The sequence below is a fragment of the Homo sapiens genome, chromosome 2 (assembly GCF_000001405.40).
Source record: "Homo sapiens chromosome 2, GRCh38.p14 Primary Assembly".
Classification (NCBI taxonomy): domain Eukaryota; kingdom Metazoa; phylum Chordata; class Mammalia; order Primates; family Hominidae; genus Homo; species Homo sapiens.
In genome coordinates this window covers 119,039,134-119,060,290 of record NC_000002.12, presented here as the reverse complement: position 1 = coordinate 119,060,290, position 21,157 = coordinate 119,039,134, and the positions used below count along the sequence as shown (strand labels likewise).

Sequence of the window (21,157 nt, the reverse complement as noted above, 5' to 3'; positions counted from 1 at the left end):
GAAACAATCTTAGGGAGATCGAGTGACCTATCAAAGGTTGAAGAGCTAGCAACTGGCAGAGCTGAAATTTGCACTCAGCGCTGTCTGACTTGAAACTCTTGCTCTTGTAAGTCTTGTGGGTGGAGCAGTACTGCCTCCCTAGCCACACTGACAGACTCGGAGACTTACAGGTGGCATGACAGCCTGGGGACGCAGGGCTTGGTAGCAGCATAGAGGACAAAACCTGGGACCCTGATCCACCTCTGAGTTCTGTGCTTCCTCCAGAGACCACGTTTCCCCTTTCTCATATGTCCTAGTTTCCTCTTTTGGCCAGGTGACTTCACAATTGATTTTATTTGGCAGGTGGGGAGAGGTCTCTCCTGTGGTGGTCCCAACAGTGAATATTGATTTTTGGGGGCCAGGAGTGTGCTCTCATTTGGGTCATCTCTGAACCACACCACTTCTTGAGTGGCATCCCATGGTGAAGACGGTACCTTGTCCTTTTGGCCAGCACCTTGGACGTGAAGGGAGGCAGGGTTCCCAGCAGACTGCTGGGAAAAGGTTAGGAGCTCCATGCAGCATCCTCGATGAACACTGTGGACCACTCCACAGGAGAATAGATGTCTGAGCAAAGAGCACTCACCACTGATTAATAGGCATGCACTCTCCCTCTACGGGGGCAGGGCTGGAGGGCTGTTAATCATCTCACCACAGTTCCCTTCATCAGAGCACAGGAGTGCCCACGTGCTCCCCATGTCCGGGGAGAGGTGTGCCTCAAACTCTCAGGTAGGGCCAAGCTGCCAGCCTGTCCATGGCTACCAAAATGTTCCTGGGAGGACCAGGAAGGCCTTACCTGGGGGGCTTGTTCCACTCCCATCACTGTACGCCTCTCACCAAGCGCTTCCCAGCCCCACTGGAGATAGCAGCTCAGCTTCACCTCTGAGTGATATACTCTGCCCTCGAGGGTGGGGGAAAAATGGCAAAAAGCCAAACATGCCTTGGGGACAAAATTCCACTGAGAACCTGGGCAATATAGCAACACTCCGTCTGTACAATTTTTTTTTTTTGAAGTCCAGCCAGGTGTGGATTTTTGTGCCTATGGTCCCAGGTACTCAGGAAGCTGAGGTGGGAGGATTGCTGGAGTCTGGGAGGTTAAGAAGACAGTGAGCCATGTTCACACCACTGCACTCTAGCAGCCTGGGTGGCAGAGTGAGACCCTGTCTCAAAAAAGGGAAGAAAGAAAGAAAGAAGGGAAGAAAGAAAGAAAGGAAAGGAAAGGAAAGGAAGAAAGAAAGAAAGAAAGAAAGAAAGAAAAAAAGAAAGAAAGAAAGTAAGAAAAGAGAGAAAAGAAAGAAAGAAAGAAAAGAAAGAAAGGGAAAGGGAAAGGAAAGGAAAGGAAAGGGAGGAAGGAAGGAAAAGAAGAAGAAAATTAAATTCAAGGGAGGCCAGAGAACGTCATTCCCCTTTCCAAAGGAATAAAGAGAGATAATATTTGTTTCTTTGTTTTTGTTTCGTTTTGTTTTATTGTGGTAAAATGCACATAGCATAAAATTTACTCATTAGTGACATTTAGTACATTTACAGTGTTGTGTGGCCTTGCCTCTCTCCAGTTCCAAGATGTTTTCACCATCCCCAAAAGGAAACACCATACTCATTAGCGGTCATTCCACAATTCCTCCTCCCCAGCCCCAGGCAACCACTATTCTACGTTCTATTTGGATTTGCCTATTTTGGACATTTCATATAAATAGAATCATATAATATGTGGTCTTTTGTGTTTGGCTTCTTTCACTTGGCATAGTATGTTCAAGGGTCATTCATGTTGTCATTAGTACTTGTTCCTTTCTTATGGCTGAATAATACTCCATTGCATATACATATTACATTGCTTATCCACTCATTTGTTGATGGCCACTGGGTTGCTTCCACCTTTTGGATGTTATGAATAGTGCTGCTATGAACACCCATGTACGAGTTTTCATTTGAACACCTCTTTTCAATACAAGAGATGATATTGTTTTATATGTTTGAAACAAATCCATTATTTCTATGCTGTCCAATAAGGTAGCCACTAGCCAATGTAGATATATAGATTTAAGTCCATTAAAATTACGTAAAAATAAAATTTCAGTTTCTCAGTTGCACTGACCAAATTTTAAGTGCTCAGTAGCTACATGTGGCTGAGGCTACTGTATTACACAGGACAGACATGGGACATTTCCATCATCACAGAAAACTCTATTGGTAAACTCTTATGTAAAATGCACTGTTAATGGAAATCCTGCCAGCCCTTCAGCAGCCACACCAACTCCTGCAGTTTCCAATGCCTTGGGCTTCCCTGATTTCTTCCTTTTCTTGGGTTTTTCTTTGACCGCAGGGCCATTTCCCCGCCATTGTCCTTTCTGGAGCAAGAAGGAATATTTTCTCTGCTTGCTTTTCTTTTTCCCTTTTCACTCCAAGACAGTTAAAGCTAGAGCTCTTGCTTTGCCCCCTAATTCCCATACTCTGATGGATTCTATTCTCATCCAGCATTCTGCATTGCACCCAACATCTGCCCCTTTAACAGTGACCCCCTCGGTCCCTGATGGGGCTTTGGCGTTACTCAGGTAACCCAGTGTGGGCCCAGTCTGCAAACGCTAATGCTGTCACATCAGCATAGCTTTCTCTAAGTCCCAGGTTTTGCCCATTTCTGCATTTGCCCACCTCAACCAAAGCTTTCCAAATGGGTGTTCCTTATGCATATAGGGTGTGAGCTGCAGTCACCTTGCAGGGTTCCCATCCCTCTCTGCTCCTCCAGCACCCCTTGTGGATATCGTTTGTCTGTCAAGGTCCTTGGAGGAACCTTTGGCCAACTGTGCCCTTTACAGAAATGCCACCATCCACTGAGGGCAGGGAAGGCTGGGGGTAGGTTTCTGGGTCTTAGTTCTGGGCATGATATACAAAGCTGTAATGGTTAAGTCTTGGTATATGTTGTGGATCACCACACTCCTGGAACAGTCAAGCTTATATCAGAGGAGGCTGTGTCTGCAGGCTGGATTAGGCTGACCAAGAAGTTGGGAATGGTGAGGAAGTGGCTGGTCCATCTGCCCTTTGGTCAGTCCTACCTGGGCAGAGGCTTTATACCTGATAAGCTCACTTTATAGCATCATTGGGGCATAACCGAGGAGGTCCTCTAGTCCAGGAGCCCTATTTAATAGATGAAGAGATTGAGGCCGAGAAAGCAGACTGGTAGCAAGAAGGAGTGAGAACCCCAAAAAGCATTGTGTGGCCCCACTGCTGCCCGATTCCCTAAATACTTCACATCCTGGAAGCACTATTGTCACAGGCTGCTACCATCAATGCCACCATAAGCCAAGAGGCTGAGGTCCAGAAGTCCACCAGGCCAAGTCAGCTCCCAGACAGGAGGCACACATCACCGGGGCGGCCAGCGGAGACCAGAAGGTCATCACAAAAAAAGATAGGACCCAGTAACATGGCCCAATGTGGGAACAACGGGATTTCATGAGCAAGATGCATCTATACCCTGGCTAATAGGAAAAAGTGCTAAGGATGTCTGTTGACCATGCAGGAGGGTCTGAGAGGTTGGGTATTGCCAAGGAGCAGGTGAGGGGCCCAGGTGGGGAGTTTCCTGGTAGCAACAGGTAAAATGCACATAACTGTGGTAAAAAGGACTCCTCACATCACACTAACAGAACAACCAGAAAGATGAGAGTGAGAAAAGCAAGGAGGAATGGGGGTGTGCACCAGGAGGCCAGCTTCAATAATGCCTTCCTGCTTCACTTCAGGTAGCTGTCCCTACCTCCCAACATGTGGACACCCAGTGGGCACTGACCCCAGGATCCCAGCCCTCCTGAGCGGGAAGCTATGGTGAAAGGGTTGACAATAGCTGGCAGCAGAACAAGCAAGACAACTGGAAGACACAAGATGTGTGTGTCCAGACTACGACCACTATTCCACAGGACCCCTGGTAGGTAGCCAGCCAAGCAGCAGAGACACAGATAAAGACAGCCAAGGAGACAGGAGCCTGGGTCAGCAGCCTCCTCACCATTACTGCCAGGATCATCTTGCAGATGCCTTCAAGCCCTAAATTATGAGGACAAAGAGAAAAATGCCTCAGCAGCTGAAAACAAGTCCTCTGCCAAGACTGACTAGGGCAGAGCTGAGGAATTGTTGGCTTTTTCTACCATTAGCCCCTGTGGACAGCCAGCAAGGACTAACAAATATGAGATTCTAGCAATAAGATGTGAACAAAAGAGGTTGGAGCTGAGGTCGTCCAATACAAAACTGTTGACACAGTAACTAGAGCTCTAAGCATTATCTATGTAGCACAGGGTTTTCATTTTGTGTTTATTCATATACTTTTCTTTTTAGTGACAGCAAACATGATGTTTTTAAAGCCTTCAATTCTTTCACATCTTGTGGAGTTGACATTTGAAAGAGTTTTAATCAAGGAAAGCTTGACAGGTTGTAATACTTGCTTTTGGAGCTGAGGTCGGCCATGTAAGAAATCTAATGACCCAAGACTGCCATGCTGTGAGGAAGCCCAGGCCACAGGTGGAGGCTGTGGGTAGGCACTCCTGTGACAGCCCAGGCTGAGCTCACCATAGACAGCCAGCATCAACCACCAGCCTTTTGAATGGGCCAGCTGGGCCATCCAACACAGTTGAACCTTTGGATGACTTCAACCTGGGCAAACCTCTGAGTTTTGTAACCTGACTTGAGACCTGTTGCAGGAAGTCAGGGATCCCGAATGGAGGGACTGGCTGGAGCCGTGGCAGAGAAACATAAATTATGAAAATTTCATGGACATTTACCAGTTACCAAATAATACTGTCATAATTTCTTATGTCTGTCTTACTTTAATCTCTTAATCCTGTTATCTTCGTAAGCTGAGGATGTACGTCACCACAGGACCACTGTGATAATTGTGTTAACTGTACACATTGAATGTAAAACATGTGTGTTTGAACAATATAAAATCAGTGCACCTTGAAAAAGAACAGAATAACAGCTATTTTCAGGGAACAAGGGAAGACAACCATAAGGTCTGACTGCCTGCAAGGTCGGGCAAAATAGAGCCATATTTTTCTTCTTGCAGAGAGCCTCTGCAAGAAGATGTACAAGTAAGGAAGATATTGCTAGATTTTTTTCCTAGCAAGGAATATTAATAATTAATACCTTGGGGAAGGAATGCATTCCTTGGGGGAGACCTATAAACGGCCACTCTGGGAGTATCTGTCTTATGCAGTTGAAATAAGGACTGAAATACACCCTGGTCTCCTGCAGTACCCTCAGGCTTGTTAGGGTGGGGAAAAAACAAAAACTGTACCCTGGTAAATTTGAGGTCAGACTGGTTCTCTGCTCTCGAACCCTGTTTTCTGTTGTTTAAGATGTTTATCAAGACAATATGTGCACCACTGAACATAGAACCTTATCATTAGTTCTGCTTTTGCCCTTTGCCTTGTGATCCTTGCTTTTGCCCTTTGCCTTGTTATCTTTGTTGGACCCTTATCAGGAGTTTCTGATTTTGCCCTTGTCCTGTTTCCTCAGAAGCATGTGATCTTTGTTCTCCTTTTTGCCCTTTGAAGCATGTGATCTTGTGACCTACTCCTTGTTCTTGCACCCCCTCCCCTTTTGAGATCCTTAATAAAACTTGCTGGTTTTGTGGCTCAGGTGGGCATCATGGTCCTACCGATATGTGATGTCACCCCCGGCAGCCCAGCTGTAAAATTCCTCTCTTTGTACTCTTTCTCTTTATTTCTCAGCAGGCCGACACTTTTGGAAAATAGAAAGAACCTATGTTGAAATATTGGGGGCGGCTTCCCCCCATAGAGATCTCCAAAGTAGAGCTGCTTGGTTTAGCCCTCCTGAAATCCCAACCCACAAAACAGTGAACAAACAAAACCCCACCAAAACTCCACCTTTATATATAGAGAGATTTTTTCAAGCTCACAAACTGCATGGACTTGTTAATAAGAGTCTTAAAGTTTGAAAGAGTGAAAAACACACTGAGGCTACTGAAGAGGGAGTGGCTTGCTCTGGAATACACTGATCTGGAAGCCAGGCTGCCTGTCCCTGGGGCTGTGGAGTCCTGCCCATTTCACACTCTGTCCTGTATGCTGACCAGCGCCTCAGACAGATGCACTCACTGGTGGTCATAGTACTACCTCTGGTCTGTGTTATTTACTTTACAGAAGACTTTTTTACTCCAGTGGTTTCCATTCAAGAAGGGAGCCATTGGAGAATTTCCTGGCTGAAAGGAATAAAGATTGAGGGGCTTGTCTGCGAGCAGGCCCCTCAAATCAAGCCTGCTGCCCCAAACCTTGGTCCTGTCATGCCTGAGGCTGCCCAATTCTGGAAGGGCAGGGAGGCAATGCAATGGTTGGGACAGAGGGGCCTGAGGAGAGGGGGCCTGGCCAGGTTCTCAGGCCAGCCTCCTATTGGGAAGGAACATGGAGGGGCAACTCTCAGTCAGCATTGCTGAGTCAAGCGAATGCAGGCGGAACCCAACCAAGCAAGCAACTCACCGGCTTCCTGGTGTGGGGCAGCTTCAGGCATCCATCAGGGGGTCCCAAATGGGCTTTTAAGCATCTGGGGGTAGCGCTGTCCTCTGGAAAAGCAGATGCACTTGAAGAAAGATTGACAGGCCCGAGAGGCTCCCTTCAAGCTCTTGGCCCTCCCCAAAAGGACGACCAAGAAAAGAAGACTGATGGCCTGTGGGAGTGAGGCACTGGGCAAGCCTGGCTGAGGAGTGGAGAGGCAGCAGCTTTGTGGGGGCTTTCCCCTGACAACAACCTCTCTAGGAAAACTCCAGGCCAGGGGCTCAGGTATCAGGAGAAGCCCAGTCTGGTGGTGTTCTGGGGCCAGCCCTAGCTGGACCATGTGTATCAATCCCTTCTCTGGACCTTATCTTTCTTATTTCTATAATGAAGACTGAGGCAGGATGGATGACATACATAATGATTTTAAGCTTCTTCTTTTCAGCCAGGGAATTCTTTATTCAAATGAAATCTTACAAAGAAAAAAGAATCTTACAAAGAACAAGGAAAAAAGAATGAAGCAAAGCTGCTGTGGTTGAAAGTGACAGCTGGAGTGTGCCCAGAGCTCCGCTGCCGGGCCCCAGCCCACCCTGGCTTCTGGCGCCTGGGATTTCCCAGCTCTAAGTGTCTATGATCTAAAATAATACTTGCTGTCCTACCAGTTTCCTGGGGGAAAATTTGAAGTCGGGCAAACCTGGGGTTCAAATCCAGTTTTACCCCTAGTTTCTTCATCTGCAAAGTAGATCTAATATCACCTACATCCCAGGGTTCTCAGGAGTTCAAGGTACCCCTGGCATAGAATCTGGCATCATGGTGCCCCTCGGGTTTGTCCTTCCTTCTCTTTGTACACACTGCTTTTGTGTTCCATCTCATCACCTTCTACCATCCCATCAGATCCTCTCTGGTCTCTGTCCAGAATAGATTATGGGCCAGGCACTGTGCTGGGTAGTGGGTAGTCAGGGCTTAAAGATAAATAAGACAAAGCCAGTGACTTAATGGAACTTACGCACAAGAAACTGATCATTCCCACACAAATAGTTTAGGTAAATGGATGTATTTAAAACTAGAGACAGAACTTTATCTTGATTAATGTTCACTTAATAGCTTTGGGCTAAATCTTCTGGCTTGTTTTACATTTTATTTCTGTTTTCAAACATAAAAAGTTATCCCATCTTTCTTTCTTTTACCTGCAAGTGTAATCAACATGATTTCCACATCTTTCCCCTATTATGACCAAGATAATGAGAACGGGGCCAAGAGGAGAGTTCCAGGTCTTGCCACCAGACTGGTTTCAATACGTTCAAACCAATATGTTCATCACAACACTGCAGTGATTCAGCCAGTTCAAATGTTATCTCTCCCACTTGTGCATACTCCTACACTTTTCTATTTTAGAAATTTTTATTACAAATTTATTTGTATATACACTCACAATTTTACATGCATATCACTATATATATACGTGTGTGTGTGTGTGTGTGTGTGTGTATATATATATATATATATATATATTCTTTTTTTTTTTTTTTTTTTGAGATGCAGCTTCTCTCTTGTTGCCCAGGCCTGAGTGCAATGATGCGATCTCAGCTCACTGTAACCTGTGCCTCCTGGGTGCAAGTGATTCTCCTGCCTCAGCCTCCCGAGTAGCTGGGATTACAGGCACATGCCACCACGGCCGGATAATTTTTGTATTTTAGTAGAGACGGGGTTTTACCATGTTGGTCAGGCTGGTATCAAACTCCTGACCTCCGGTGATCCACCCACCTTGGTCTCCCGAAGTGCTGGGATTACAGGCGTGAGCCATCATACCCGCCCCTATATATCACCATTTTTTACATATTTTTAGAACAGTCCCCATTTTGCTTGGCTTTCCCCTCTCCTCTTCAACCCTCTGCTTACAACGGCCCCTATACTCAGCCCCAGCCCTTCTGCGGGTAACCTAGGTTAATAAATTGGTATGTGTTATGTGTCCTTTTTATGCTCATATGTAAATATAAATAGAGACACATACATCACTCACATATATAGTATTGGTTTTTTTGTCAGCATTTTCTATTATTTGGATCATATCTTACACATTTATCTTTATCTTCTTTTACCAAAAAATAACTTGTGAAAATGACTCCTGGACCACTACTATAGTTCTAATGCACCCTGTTAAGTGGTCGCATAACAGGCTATCATGGAGCATTGATACAAAAATCTTCAATAAAATATTAGCAAACCAAATTCAACAACACATCAAAAAGATTACACATCATGACCAAGTTGGATTTATCCCTGGCATGCAAAGCTGATTTAACATATGCAGATCAATCAGTGTGACACATCCCTTTAACAGAATGAAAGATAAGAACCACATAATCATCTCATTTGACACAGAGAAAGCATTTGACAAGGTTCAACATTGTTTCTTGATAACAACTCTTGACTGTTTACGTGTAGAAGGAAAGTTTCTTGACATAATAAAAGCCATTTATGAAAAACTCACAGCTAACATCATAATCAACAGTGAAAAACTGAAAACTTTTCCACCAATCAGACAAGAAAAAGAAATAAAAGGCATCCAAATTGAAAAGGAAAAAGTAGTATTCCTTTTTTGCAGGATCAAGGCAGATGGGAAGCAGGATTAGATTGCAGCTCCAGACAGAGCAGCATGTGGAGGTTTGCGTTGTGAATTTTAGCTCCAGAACAACTGCAAGAACAAACAAGCAATCCTGAGAGGATCCACAGTCTCTGTGAAGGAAGCAGACTGCTCCTGCAGGACCCAAGAGACATGCCAAATACTGAGAGTGCCCCAACTGTGGAAGTGGGAAAGGGAGACCCTCCTCTCTCAAACACGCACCCCCACTGGAGAAGCTGAAGGTCTGTTTGCAGAAGTTTCCAACTTTACCTGGAGCTGAGTCAAGTTAGAGAGCTGAGTCAAGTGAAATACAGGGGTAGAGGAAGAAGCAGAAAGGCCCTGGGAGTTTGCTGGGACCCCAAGCAGCCCATTCCTGCCTGGAACCACAGGGATCCATCAGGTGAGTGGCCAGAGTCGCAGGGGGTAAAACTCCACAGGGAGAAGAATTCTCTAGCTGAACTTTGTAACAACTTGAACAGGGTGAACAGGGTGAGAAGCCTCCTGACCAGAACTCGGGGGAGGGCGCAAATCCAGCTTGCAGACTTCTCAGGTTGGGAAAGAACTAAAGTTCTTTTCTTTCACAGCTGGGAGGCTCTTCCTGGAAACAGACTTGGGGCTGTTGGCAGGGCGGCGGGCGGGCGGACGGGGGAGTGCACCGTGGGAGTGAGACTGGCCCTTCGGTTTGTGTGGGAGCTGGGTGAGGCCTGTGACTTTCAGCTTTCCCCCACTTCCCTCACAACCTGCATGACTCAGCAGAGACAGCCATAATCCTCCTAGGTACACAACTCCAGTAACCTGGGAATCCCACCCCCATCCCCCACAGCAACTCCAGCAAGACCCGCCCAAGGAGGGTCTGAGCTCAGACACACCTAGCACCACCACCACCTGATAGTCCTTCCCTTCCCACCCTGGTACTGGAAGACAAAGGGCATATAATCTTGGGAGTTCTAGAGCCATGCCCACCACCAGTCCCTCTCCACACTGCTACAGCTGATCCTTTATGAAAAGCGCCATCTCCTGGCAGGAGGCCAACAAGCACAAAAATAGAGCATTAAACCACCAAAGCTAAGGACACTCATGGAGTCCATTGCACCCTCTGCCAACTCCACTGGAAGAGGCGCTGGTATCCACAGCTGAGAGACCCATAAACAGTTCACATCACAGGACTTTGTGCAGACAACCCCCAGTACCAGTCCAGAGCTGGGTAGACTTGCTGGGTGGTTAGACCCAGAAGAGAGAAAAGAGACAACAATCACTGCAGTTCGGCTCACAGGAGGCCACATCCACAGAAAAAAAGGGAGAGTACTACATCAAGGGAACACCCCGTGGGACAAAAAAAATCTGGACAACAGCCTTCAGCCATAGACCTTCCTTCTGACAGAGCCTACCCAAATGAGAAGGAACCAGAACACCAACCCTGGTAATATGACAAAACAAGCTCGTCAATACCCCCCAAAAATCACACTACTTCACCAGCAATGGATCCAAACCAAGAAGAAATCCCTGATTTACCTGAAAAAGAATTCAGGAAGTTAGTTATTAAGCTAATCAGGGAGGGATCAGAGAAAGGCAAAGCCCAATGCAAGGAAATAAAAAAAAGAGACAAGAAGTGAAGGGAAAAATAGTCAAGGAAATAGATAGCTTAAAGAAAAAGCAATAAAAAATTTGGGAAACTTTGGAAACACTTTAAGAAATGTGAAATGCTCTGGAAAGTCTCAGCAATAGAATTGAACAAGTAGAAGAAAGAAATAAAGAGCTCGAAGACAAGGTCTTTGAATTAACCCACTCCAACAAAGACTAAGAAAATATGACCATACCCTCCAAGTAGTCTGGGATTATGTTAAACGACCAAACCTAAGAATAATCGGTGTTCCTGAGGAAGAGGGCAATTCTAAAATCTTGGAGAACATATTTGGGGGAATAATCAAGGAAAACTTTAAAACTTCCCTGGCCTTGCTAGAGACCTGACATTCAAATACAAGAAGCACAAAGAACACCTGGGAAATTCATTGCAACAAGATCTTCACCTAGGTACATTGTCATCAGGTTATCCAAAGTTAAGATGAAGGAAAAAATTGTAAGAGCATCAGGTAACCTATAAAGGAAAACCTATCAGATTAACAGCAGACGTCTCAGCATTAACCCTATAAGTGAGAAGGGATTGGGGCCCTATCTTCAGCCTCCTCACACAAAACAATTATCAGCCAAGAATTTTGTATCGAGTGAAAATAAGCATCATATACAAAAGAAAGATACAGTCATTTTCAGACAAACAAATGCTGAGAGAATTCACAATTACCAAGCCACCACTACAAGAACTGCTAAAAGGAGATCAAAATCTTGAAACAAATCCTGGAAACACATCAAAACAGAATCTCTTTAAAGCATAAATCACACAGGACTTATAAAACAAAAATACAAGTTAAAAAGCAAAAACAAGAAACTTAAAAAAAAACAAGGTACACAGGCAATAAAGAGCATGATGAATGCAAGGGTACTTCACATTTCAATACTAACGTTGAATATAAATGGCCTAAATGCTCCACTTAAAAAATACAGAACCACAGAATGGATAAGCACTCACCAACCATCTGCTGCCTTCAGGAGACTCACCTAACACATAAGGGCTCAGGTAAACTTAAAGTGAAGGGGTGGAAAACGGCATTTCATGCAAATGGACACCAAAAGCCAGCAGGGGTAGCTATTCTTATATCAGACAAAACCAATTTTAAAGCAACAGTGGTTAAAAGAGAAAAGAGGGATGTTATATAATGGTAAAAGGCCGCGTCTAACAACAAAAAAAAATCACAATCCTAAACATATGGGCACCTAACCCTGGAGCTCCCAAATTTATAAAACAATTACTAATAGACCTAAGAAATGAGATAGACAGCAACACAGTAATAGTGGGATACTTCAAATACTCCACTGACAGCACTAAAGAGGTCATCAAGACAGAAGGTCATCAAGACAGAAAGTCAACAAAGAAAGAATGGATTTAAACTATACTTGAAACAAATGGACTTAACAGATTTATACAGAACATTTCATCCAACAACTGCAGAATACAGATTCTATTCAACAGTGGATGGAACTTTCTCTGAGATAGACCATATAATAGGCCATAAAACAAGCCACAATAAATTTAAGAAAACTGAAATTATATCAAGCTTTCTGTCAGACCACAGTGTAATAAAACTAGAAATTAACTCCAAAAGGAACCTTCAACACCACACAAATACATGGAAATTAAATAACCTGCTCCTGAATGAGCATTGGGTAAAAAATGAAATCAAGATGGAAATTAAAAAATTTCTTTGAACTGAATGACAAGGATGACACAACCTATCCAAACCTGTGGGATACAGCTAAGGCGGCACTAAGAGGAAAGCTCATACCCTTAAACACCTACATCAAAAAATCTGAAAGAGCAGAAACAATCTATGCTAACACCTCAAGGAACTAGAGGAACAGGAACAAACCAATCTCAAACCCAGCAGAAGAAAGGAAATAACCAAAATCAGAGGAGAACTAAATGAAATTGAAACTAAAAAAACAATTCAAAGGATAAATAAAACTGATAGACTGTTAGCAAGATTAACAAGAAAAGAAGAGAGAAAATCCAAATAACCTCACTAAGAAACGAAACAGGAGATGTTACAACTGACACTACTGAAATGTGAAAGATTATTCAAGGCTACTGTGAATGCCTTTATGCACATAAACTAGAAAACCTAGAAGAGATGAATAAATTCCTGGAAAAATACAACCCTCCTAGCTTAAATCGGGAAGAATTAGATACCCTGAATAGACAAACAACATGCAGTGAGATTAAAATGGTAATTTAAAAATTACCAACAAAAAAAGTCCAGGGCCAGACAGATTCACAGCAGACTTCTACCAGACATTCAAAGAATTGGTACCAATCCTTTTGACACTATTCCACAAGAAAGAGAAAGAAGGAACCCTCCCTAATTCATTCTATGAAGCCAGCATCAGCCTAATATCAAACCAGGAAAGGACACAAACAAAAAAGAAAACTACAGACTGATACCCTTGATGAACATAGATGCTAAAATCCTTAACAAAATACTTGCTAACCAAATCCAACAACATATAAGGTAAACCACCATGGATCAAGTGGGTTTCATACCAGGGATGCAGGGATGGTTTAATATGTGCAAGTCAATAAATGTGATACACCACATAAGCAGAATTAAAAACAAAAATCACATGATCATCTCAATAGATGCAGAAAAAGCATTCAACAAAATCCAGCATCCCTTTATGAACAAAGCCCTCAGCAAAATTGGCATACAAGGGGCATATCTTAACATAGTAAAAGCCATCTATGACAAACCCACAGCTAACATAATACTGAATGGGAAAAGTTGAAAGCATTCCCTCTGAAAATGGGAACAAGACAAGGATGCTCACTCTCACCACTGCTCTTCAACATAGTACTGGAAGTCCTAGTCAGAGCAATCAGACAGGAGAAAGAAATAAAGGGTATCCAAATTGGTAAGGAGGAAGTCAAATTGTCCCAGTTTGCTGATGATATGATCATTTCCCTTGAAAACCCTAAGGACTCCTCCAGAAAGCTCCTAGAACTGATAAATAATTCAGCAAAATTTCCAGGTACATGATTAAAGTACACAAATCAGTAGCTCTTCTATACACCAACAGCGACCAAGCAGAGAATCAAATCAATAACTCAACCATTTTTACAATAGCTGCAAACAAACAAACAAACTTAGGAATACACCTAAGAAAGGAGTTGAAAAACCTCCTCAAGAAAACTACAAAACACGCTGAAAGCAATCATAGATGACACAAACAAATGGAAACACCTCTTATGCTCATGGATGGGTAGAATCAATATTGTGAAAATGACCACACAGCAAAATCTACAAATTCAGTGCAATCCCCATCAAAATGCCACGATCATTCTTCAGAGTTATAAAAAACAATTATAACATTAATACAGAACCAAAAAAGAGCCCACTTATCCAAAGCAAGACTAAGCAAAAAGAAAAAATCTGGAGGCATCACACTACCTGATTTCAAACTAAACTATAAGGCCATAGCCACCACAACAGTATGGTACTGGTATAAAAATAGGCACATAGGCCAGTGTAGTGGAATAGAGAACCCAGAAATAAACCCAAATACTTACAGCCCACGATCTTTGCAAAGCAAACAAAAACATAAAGTGGGAAGAACACCCTTTTCAACAAATGGTGCTGGGATAATTGGCTAGCCACACGTAGGGGAATGAAACTGGATCCTCATCTCTCATCTTATACAAAAATCAACTGAAGATGGATTAAGGACTTAAACCTAAGACCTGAAACTATAAAAATTCTAGAAGATAACATTGGAAAAACCCTTCTAGACATTGGCTTAGACAAGGATTTCATGACCAAGAACCCAAAAGCAAATGCAATAAAAACAAAGATAAATAGCTGGGACTTAATGAAACTAAAGAGCTTTTGCACGGCAAGGGGAACAGTCAGCAAAGTAAACAGACAACCCATAGAGAGGGAGAAAATCTTCACAATCTATACATCTGACAAAGAACTAATATCCAGAATCTACAATGAACTCAAACAAATCAGTAAGGGAAAAAAAATCCCACCAAAAAGTGGGCCAAGGACATGAATAGACAGTTCTCAAAAGAAGATATACAAATAGCCAACAAACATGAAAAAATGCTCAACATCTCTAATGATCACGAAAATGCAAATCAAAACCACAATGCAATACCACCTTATTCCAAGAATGGCCATAATTAAAAAATAAAAATAAAAAATAACAGTAGATGTTGGTGTGGATGCAACTATTGGGGAACACTTCTACAGTGCTGGTTGGAATGTAAGCTAGTACAGCCACTATGGAAAATAGTGTGGAGATTCCTTAAAGAACTAAAAGTAGAACTACCATTTGTTCCAGCAATCCTAGTACTGGGTATCTATCCAGAGGAAAAGAAGTCATTATTCGAAAAAGATACTTCCACACGCATGTTTAGCAGCATAATTCACAACTGCAAAAATCGTGGAACCAACCCAAATGCTCATCACTTAACAAGTGAACAGAGAAACTGTTTTATATATATATATATATATATATATATATAACATATAACATATAGTGTGTATATATATATATAAAACATATAACATATAGTGTGTGTATATGTATATATATATACACATATATGCTTGGTCGCTGTTGGTGTGTAGAAGAGCTACTGATTTTTGTACTTTAATCATGTACCTGGAAATTTTGCTGAATTATTTATCAGTTCTAGGAGCTTTCTGGAGGAGTCCTTAGGGTTTTCAAGGGAAATATATATACAATGGAATACTACTCAGCCATAAAAGGGAATGAATTAACAGCATTTACAATGACCTGGATGAGATTGGAAACTATTATTCTAAGCGAAGTAACTTAGGAATGGAAAACCAAAGATAGTATCTTCTCACTGATATGTGGGAGCTAAGCTATGAGGGTGCAAAGGCATAAGCATAATACAGTGTACTTTGGGGACTTGGGAAGAGTGGGAGGGGGGTGAGAGATAAAAGTAGTCTACAAATATGGTGCAGTGTATACTGCTCGAGTGGTGGGTGCACCAAAATCTCACAAATCACCACTAAAGAACCTACTCATGTAACCAAATACCACCTGTACCCCAAAAACTTATGAAAAAATAAAATAGAATAATTTAAATTTAAAAAGTAAAAAATAAAAGGGAAAAGTAGAATTATCTCTATTTGCAGGTGATGTGATCCTATATATAGAAAACCTCAAGAACTCTACAAAAACCCTGTTAGAACTAAGAAATAAATTTCAACAAGGTTGCAGGATAGAAACTCAACATCAAAAATCAGCACTTCTATACACAAATAATGATCTAGCTGAAAAAGACATTAAGAAAACAATTCCATTTATGATAGCATCAGACAAAAATACCTAGGAATAAATTTAACCAAGGAAGTGAAAGATTGTTACAGTAAAAACAATAAAACACCAAAGAAAGAAACTGAACAAGACACAAATCACTGGAAAGATATCCTGTGTTCATGAATTGGAAGAAATAATATTGTTAAACTATTCATACAACCCATAGGAATATACAGATTTAACACAACTGCTATCAAAATACCAATAGCATTCTTCACAGAAATAGAAAAAACAATTCTAAAATCCACAGGGAAACACACACACACACACACACACACACACACACACACACACACACCCTGAATAGCCCAAGCAATCCTGGACAGAAAAAAAAGTTCGAGGCAACTCAATTTCTAATTTAAAATTTTGTTACAAAGTTATAGTAATCAAAACAGTATGGTACCAGTATAAAAATAGATATATAAACCAATAGAACATTTTAGAGAGCCCAGAAATAAATTCACACATATATGGACAACTATATTTTGACAAGGACATCAAAATAACACAATGGGAAAAGAATAGTCTCTCCAATAGACAGCGCTACAGAACTTTCCACAATTTCATGCAAACAAATGAAATTGGACCCTTACTCTGTAAACAAAAATTAACTTAAAATGAATAAAAGATTTAAATGTAAGATATGAAACCATAAAACTAGAAGAGAACCTAAGGGAAAAGCTATTTCACATTGGTCTTGGCAATATTTATTTTGGATATCACACCAAAAGCACAGGCTACAAAAACAGAAATAAATAAATAGAACAGCATTAAACTAAAAAGCCTCTGTACAGCAAAGTAAACAACTGACAAAAAAGCAACCTATGGACTGCGAAAAAATAATTGCAAACCACATATCTGTTAAGAGGTTAAGATCTAAAATTTATAAAGAACTCTTGCAACTCAATAGCAGAAAAGCAGATAAACCAATTGAAAAGTGAGCAAAAGACCTGAACAGACATTTCTCCAAAGAAGGCATAAGAATGGCCAATAGGTATATACAAAGGTGCTCAATATCACTAATCATAAGGAAAATGCAAACTAAAACCACTGTGAGTTATCACCTCACACCCGTAAAGACAGCTACTATCAAAAGGCAAGAGATGACAGATGAGGGTGTGGAGAAAAGAGGACCTTAGTTCATTGTTGATGGGAGAGAAGACTGATACAGAAGACTGACACATTTCCAGCTAGTATGGAAAAGAGAAAGGAGATTCTTAAAGAAATTAAAAAATAGTACTACATGACCTAGCAATGCCACTCCTGGATACATACCCAAAGGAGATAAAATCATCACCTTGTAAAGAGATCTGAACTCCCATTTTCGTTGCAGCAGTATTCACAAGAGCCAGGAAAGCTATAGAACAAATTTAATGTCCATCAATGGACAAATGGATAAAAAAAGTGGTGTTTACACACACACACACACACATACACACACACACACCCAATGGAATATTATTCAGACTTGAAAAGAAGAGGTTTTTGCCATTTACCACAGCATGGATAGACCTGGAGGATATTGTGCTAAGTGAAATAAGCCAGGCACAGAAGGAAAAATATTGCATGATTTTACTTATATGTGAAATATATATATATACATATATATATATACACACACACACACACACACACACACACACAAGCTCAAATACACAGAGGCAGAAAATGAAATAGTGGTTACCAGAAGTGGTGAGGGGAGAGGAAATGGGGAAGTGTAGGTCAAAAGACACAAAATAGCAGATATGTAAGATGAACAAGTCCAGAGATGTAGTGTATTACATGAGGACTAAAGTTAATAAAATTGTATTATATTCAGGATTTTTGTTAAAAAAGTAGATTTTGGGTACTCTTCTCAGACACAAAAAAAGTAACTGTGAAATGATAGATACGTTAATCTTCTTTATTACAGGAACCATGTTTTATATGTATCCCATAACATCACGTTGTAAACTTCAAATACGTGCTATAAAATTTATTTTTACAAAATAAATGAATAGATTCAAGACACAGCACTAAAATAAAATACAGTTAGATCGAAGGAATAAGTTTTAATGTTCAATTACATAGTAGGGTGGCTATAATTAACAATAATTTATTGTATATTTTAAAACAGAAAGGAAGATTTGAAATGTTCCCAACACAAAGAAGTGATCAATGGTTGAGGTCATAGATATCCTAATTTCCCTGATTTTGTCATTATAGTTATATGCATGTGTCAAAATATCACATATTTTGTACCCAATAAATATGTACAATTATTTTCAATTTTTTAAAAAGAATATATTTATATAAAAATCTGCTATCTTTTTTTCTGGGTTAAGACTGCGATTTTCATCAAATTCTCCATCCGTTTTTTGTATTTTTGATTTACATATTTTGATGGAATGTTGCTAGGCACTGTTACATCTCTGTATAAAATACCCAGATATAAAGTAAAAAAAAACAACCAAACAAACAAACAACAAAACAACAAATCCATAAAAAGGAACAAGTTGTTGTGCACACATGTTGGATTGATCTCAAGGGAATTGTATTAAGTAAAGAAAGCCAATCTCAAAACATTACATTGTGTAATTCCATTTATATAACATCATTGAAGTTATAAAATTATAGCGATAGAGAACACATTAGTGGTTGCCGGGGTTAAGGAAGGAGGTGGCTTTGGCTATAAAAGGATGGCATGAAGAATCCTTGTGATGGAAGTGCTCTGTATCTTAACTGGGTTAGGGTGGATCACACAAATCTAAACATCATAAAATTGCCTAGAACTGAATACACAAATGAGTGCAAGTACAATGGGTGAAATTCTGAATAAGGATGCGTGAATTGTACCTGTCAGTTTCCTAGATTTGACATGGTACCATAATTATGGAAGATGTTACCATTGGGATAAACTGTGTGAAGAGTATATGAGATCTATGTTTTCATATCCTTCTATAATTATTTCAGGATAAAAAGTTTTTTTAAAAATAAATGCACAGGATCAGAGGGGGCACTCATAATTAAAGCACTGTAAACACACACACAATTTTAGGATAGAACACTTAAATAAATAATTAAATGGAAGCAATACAATTATTATTATTATTATTGTTTTTAGAGACAAGATCTTGCTCTGTTGCACAGGCTCAAGTGCAGCAGTGTGATCCTAGCTCACCAGAACCTCAAACTCCTGGGCTCAAGGGATGTCCTGCCTAAGCTTCCTGAATCCCTAGGATTACTTGCACAAGCCACCACACCCAGCTAATTAAAACGAACGAACGAACGAACAAACGAAAGAACGAACGAACGAACGAAAGAACGAACGAACTAACTAACAAACAAAAAACATTCTTTGTAGAGTAAGGGTCTTGCTGTGTTACCCAGGCTGCTCTTGAACTCCTGGCCTCAAGTGATCCCTCCTTCTCAGCCTCAAAAAGTGTTGGTATTATAGGCATGTGCCACCATGCCTGGCCCAATATAATGATCTTTTATGACTCACAACTATACAAGAGTTGAGTGAGTAAAATTAATTAGGAAACTAAATCAAGACATAAGTGCTATTAAGATATTGACATTCTCTCTACTGTTTATAGTCAAACAATTTTATATATCTACGTAATATTTCCATAATCAATTATAAGTACAAATTAATAGCTATAAATTGTTTTTAAATAGGCTATTATAATAGGCTATAATATGAATTAATGTGCCATAATTTATTCAACTATATTGAATTGATAGGCATTTACATTTTTCTGCTACAATAAATAAATATTCTTGCATATATATTCTTATATGTTGGTGCTTTTATTTCTATGGTATAAATTCTGAGAAATGAGATTGCTCTTAATTTTAATATCTTAATATTAATAAATGTTGCCAGATCATTTTCCCAAAATGGTCATAATAATTAAGATTTCCACATTCAAGCATGCAGTGAATAGTCCCAGTCTTTTAATTTTTGCATACTTAATAGGCATAAAGTGAATTATCATTGTAAGTTTAATTTACACATCCCTGACTTTATCAGAATTTAGGTATATTTTATGTTTGTTGATCATTTAAATCTGCTCTTCTATGAATTGTCTTCTCAATTTCTTTGCTTATTTTTCCTCTAATTGTCCAATTCTTATCACTTTTCACAAACGCTCTGCACATGGATTTAACTCTCTTTATCCACTACATAGCAAGTATTTCCCAAAATCTATTTTATGTCTATTGACTTAATCTATGGTATCTCTTGTGTTCATAAATTTGTAATTGCTCTGCTGTGCTGTGCTTTTAAGCCTCCGGTTTTCCAGTCTCTGTTTGGAAGGTGTTTGTTCCTACGTTAAATGTGTAGATTCTTGGATTTTTTAAAATAATTTTCATTTTTTTCACATTTAAAATTTTTAAGCCACCTGAAATTTATTTTTGTAACTAGAGTAACAAAAATTTATTTTTCACAAATTGAAATACCAGCTTTACTGTGTTTTACTAATCATTTATTTTATAATTTATTTCTGAATTTTCTTTTGTGTTCCACAGACCTCTTCATTTGTATTTTTCCAAATAACACATTAATATGTTTATAGGGACTTTGTAGTGTGTTGTAATATTTGTTAAGGCAAGAGCTCACTCTTTCTTCTTAAAAATATCTTGTCTAGTTCCAGAGTTTTAAAAATATAAAGCATAATATCATTTTATCCAATTTACATAATATTAGGATTCAAATTTGACTTGCATTAAATTTATAGATATCAAATCTGGGAAAATCAAATTGACATGATACTAAGTTTCTCCTCTTGAAAATGAAAATCTGTTTCTATTTGTTCAGATCTTATTTTATATTTTTAAATAACATGTTATGATTTGCTTCACATAGGACTCATGCCTTTCTTGCTAACCTCATTCCTAAGCATTTCCTAATTTGTGTGTAGAATGCTTTTTCTCATTTTCTTTTGTCATACTCCTTGTTAGAATAGAAGAAATCTATTGATTTTTGTGTATTCACCTTACATCCTGCAACCTGTAAGATTTTACCAAATTCTCTTATACAGTCTAAGAATATTTTTTTCTAGAGTCTATT

At 40.0% G+C, this 21,157-nt stretch overlaps 1 annotated feature.

Annotated features, from left to right (window-relative positions):
- Positions 9,246-10,445: an enhancer, noted in NCBI's record as "MED14-independent group 3 enhancer chr2:119807422-119808621 (GRCh37/hg19 assembly coordinates)". NCBI's record gives its function as "activates an origin of replication core promoter dependent on BRD2, BRD4, P300/CBP and CDK7 cofactors, and independent of MED14, by STARR-seq in HCT116 cells {active_cell/tissue: HCT116}" and the evidence as "EXISTENCE:reporter gene assay evidence [ECO:0000049][PMID:35650434]".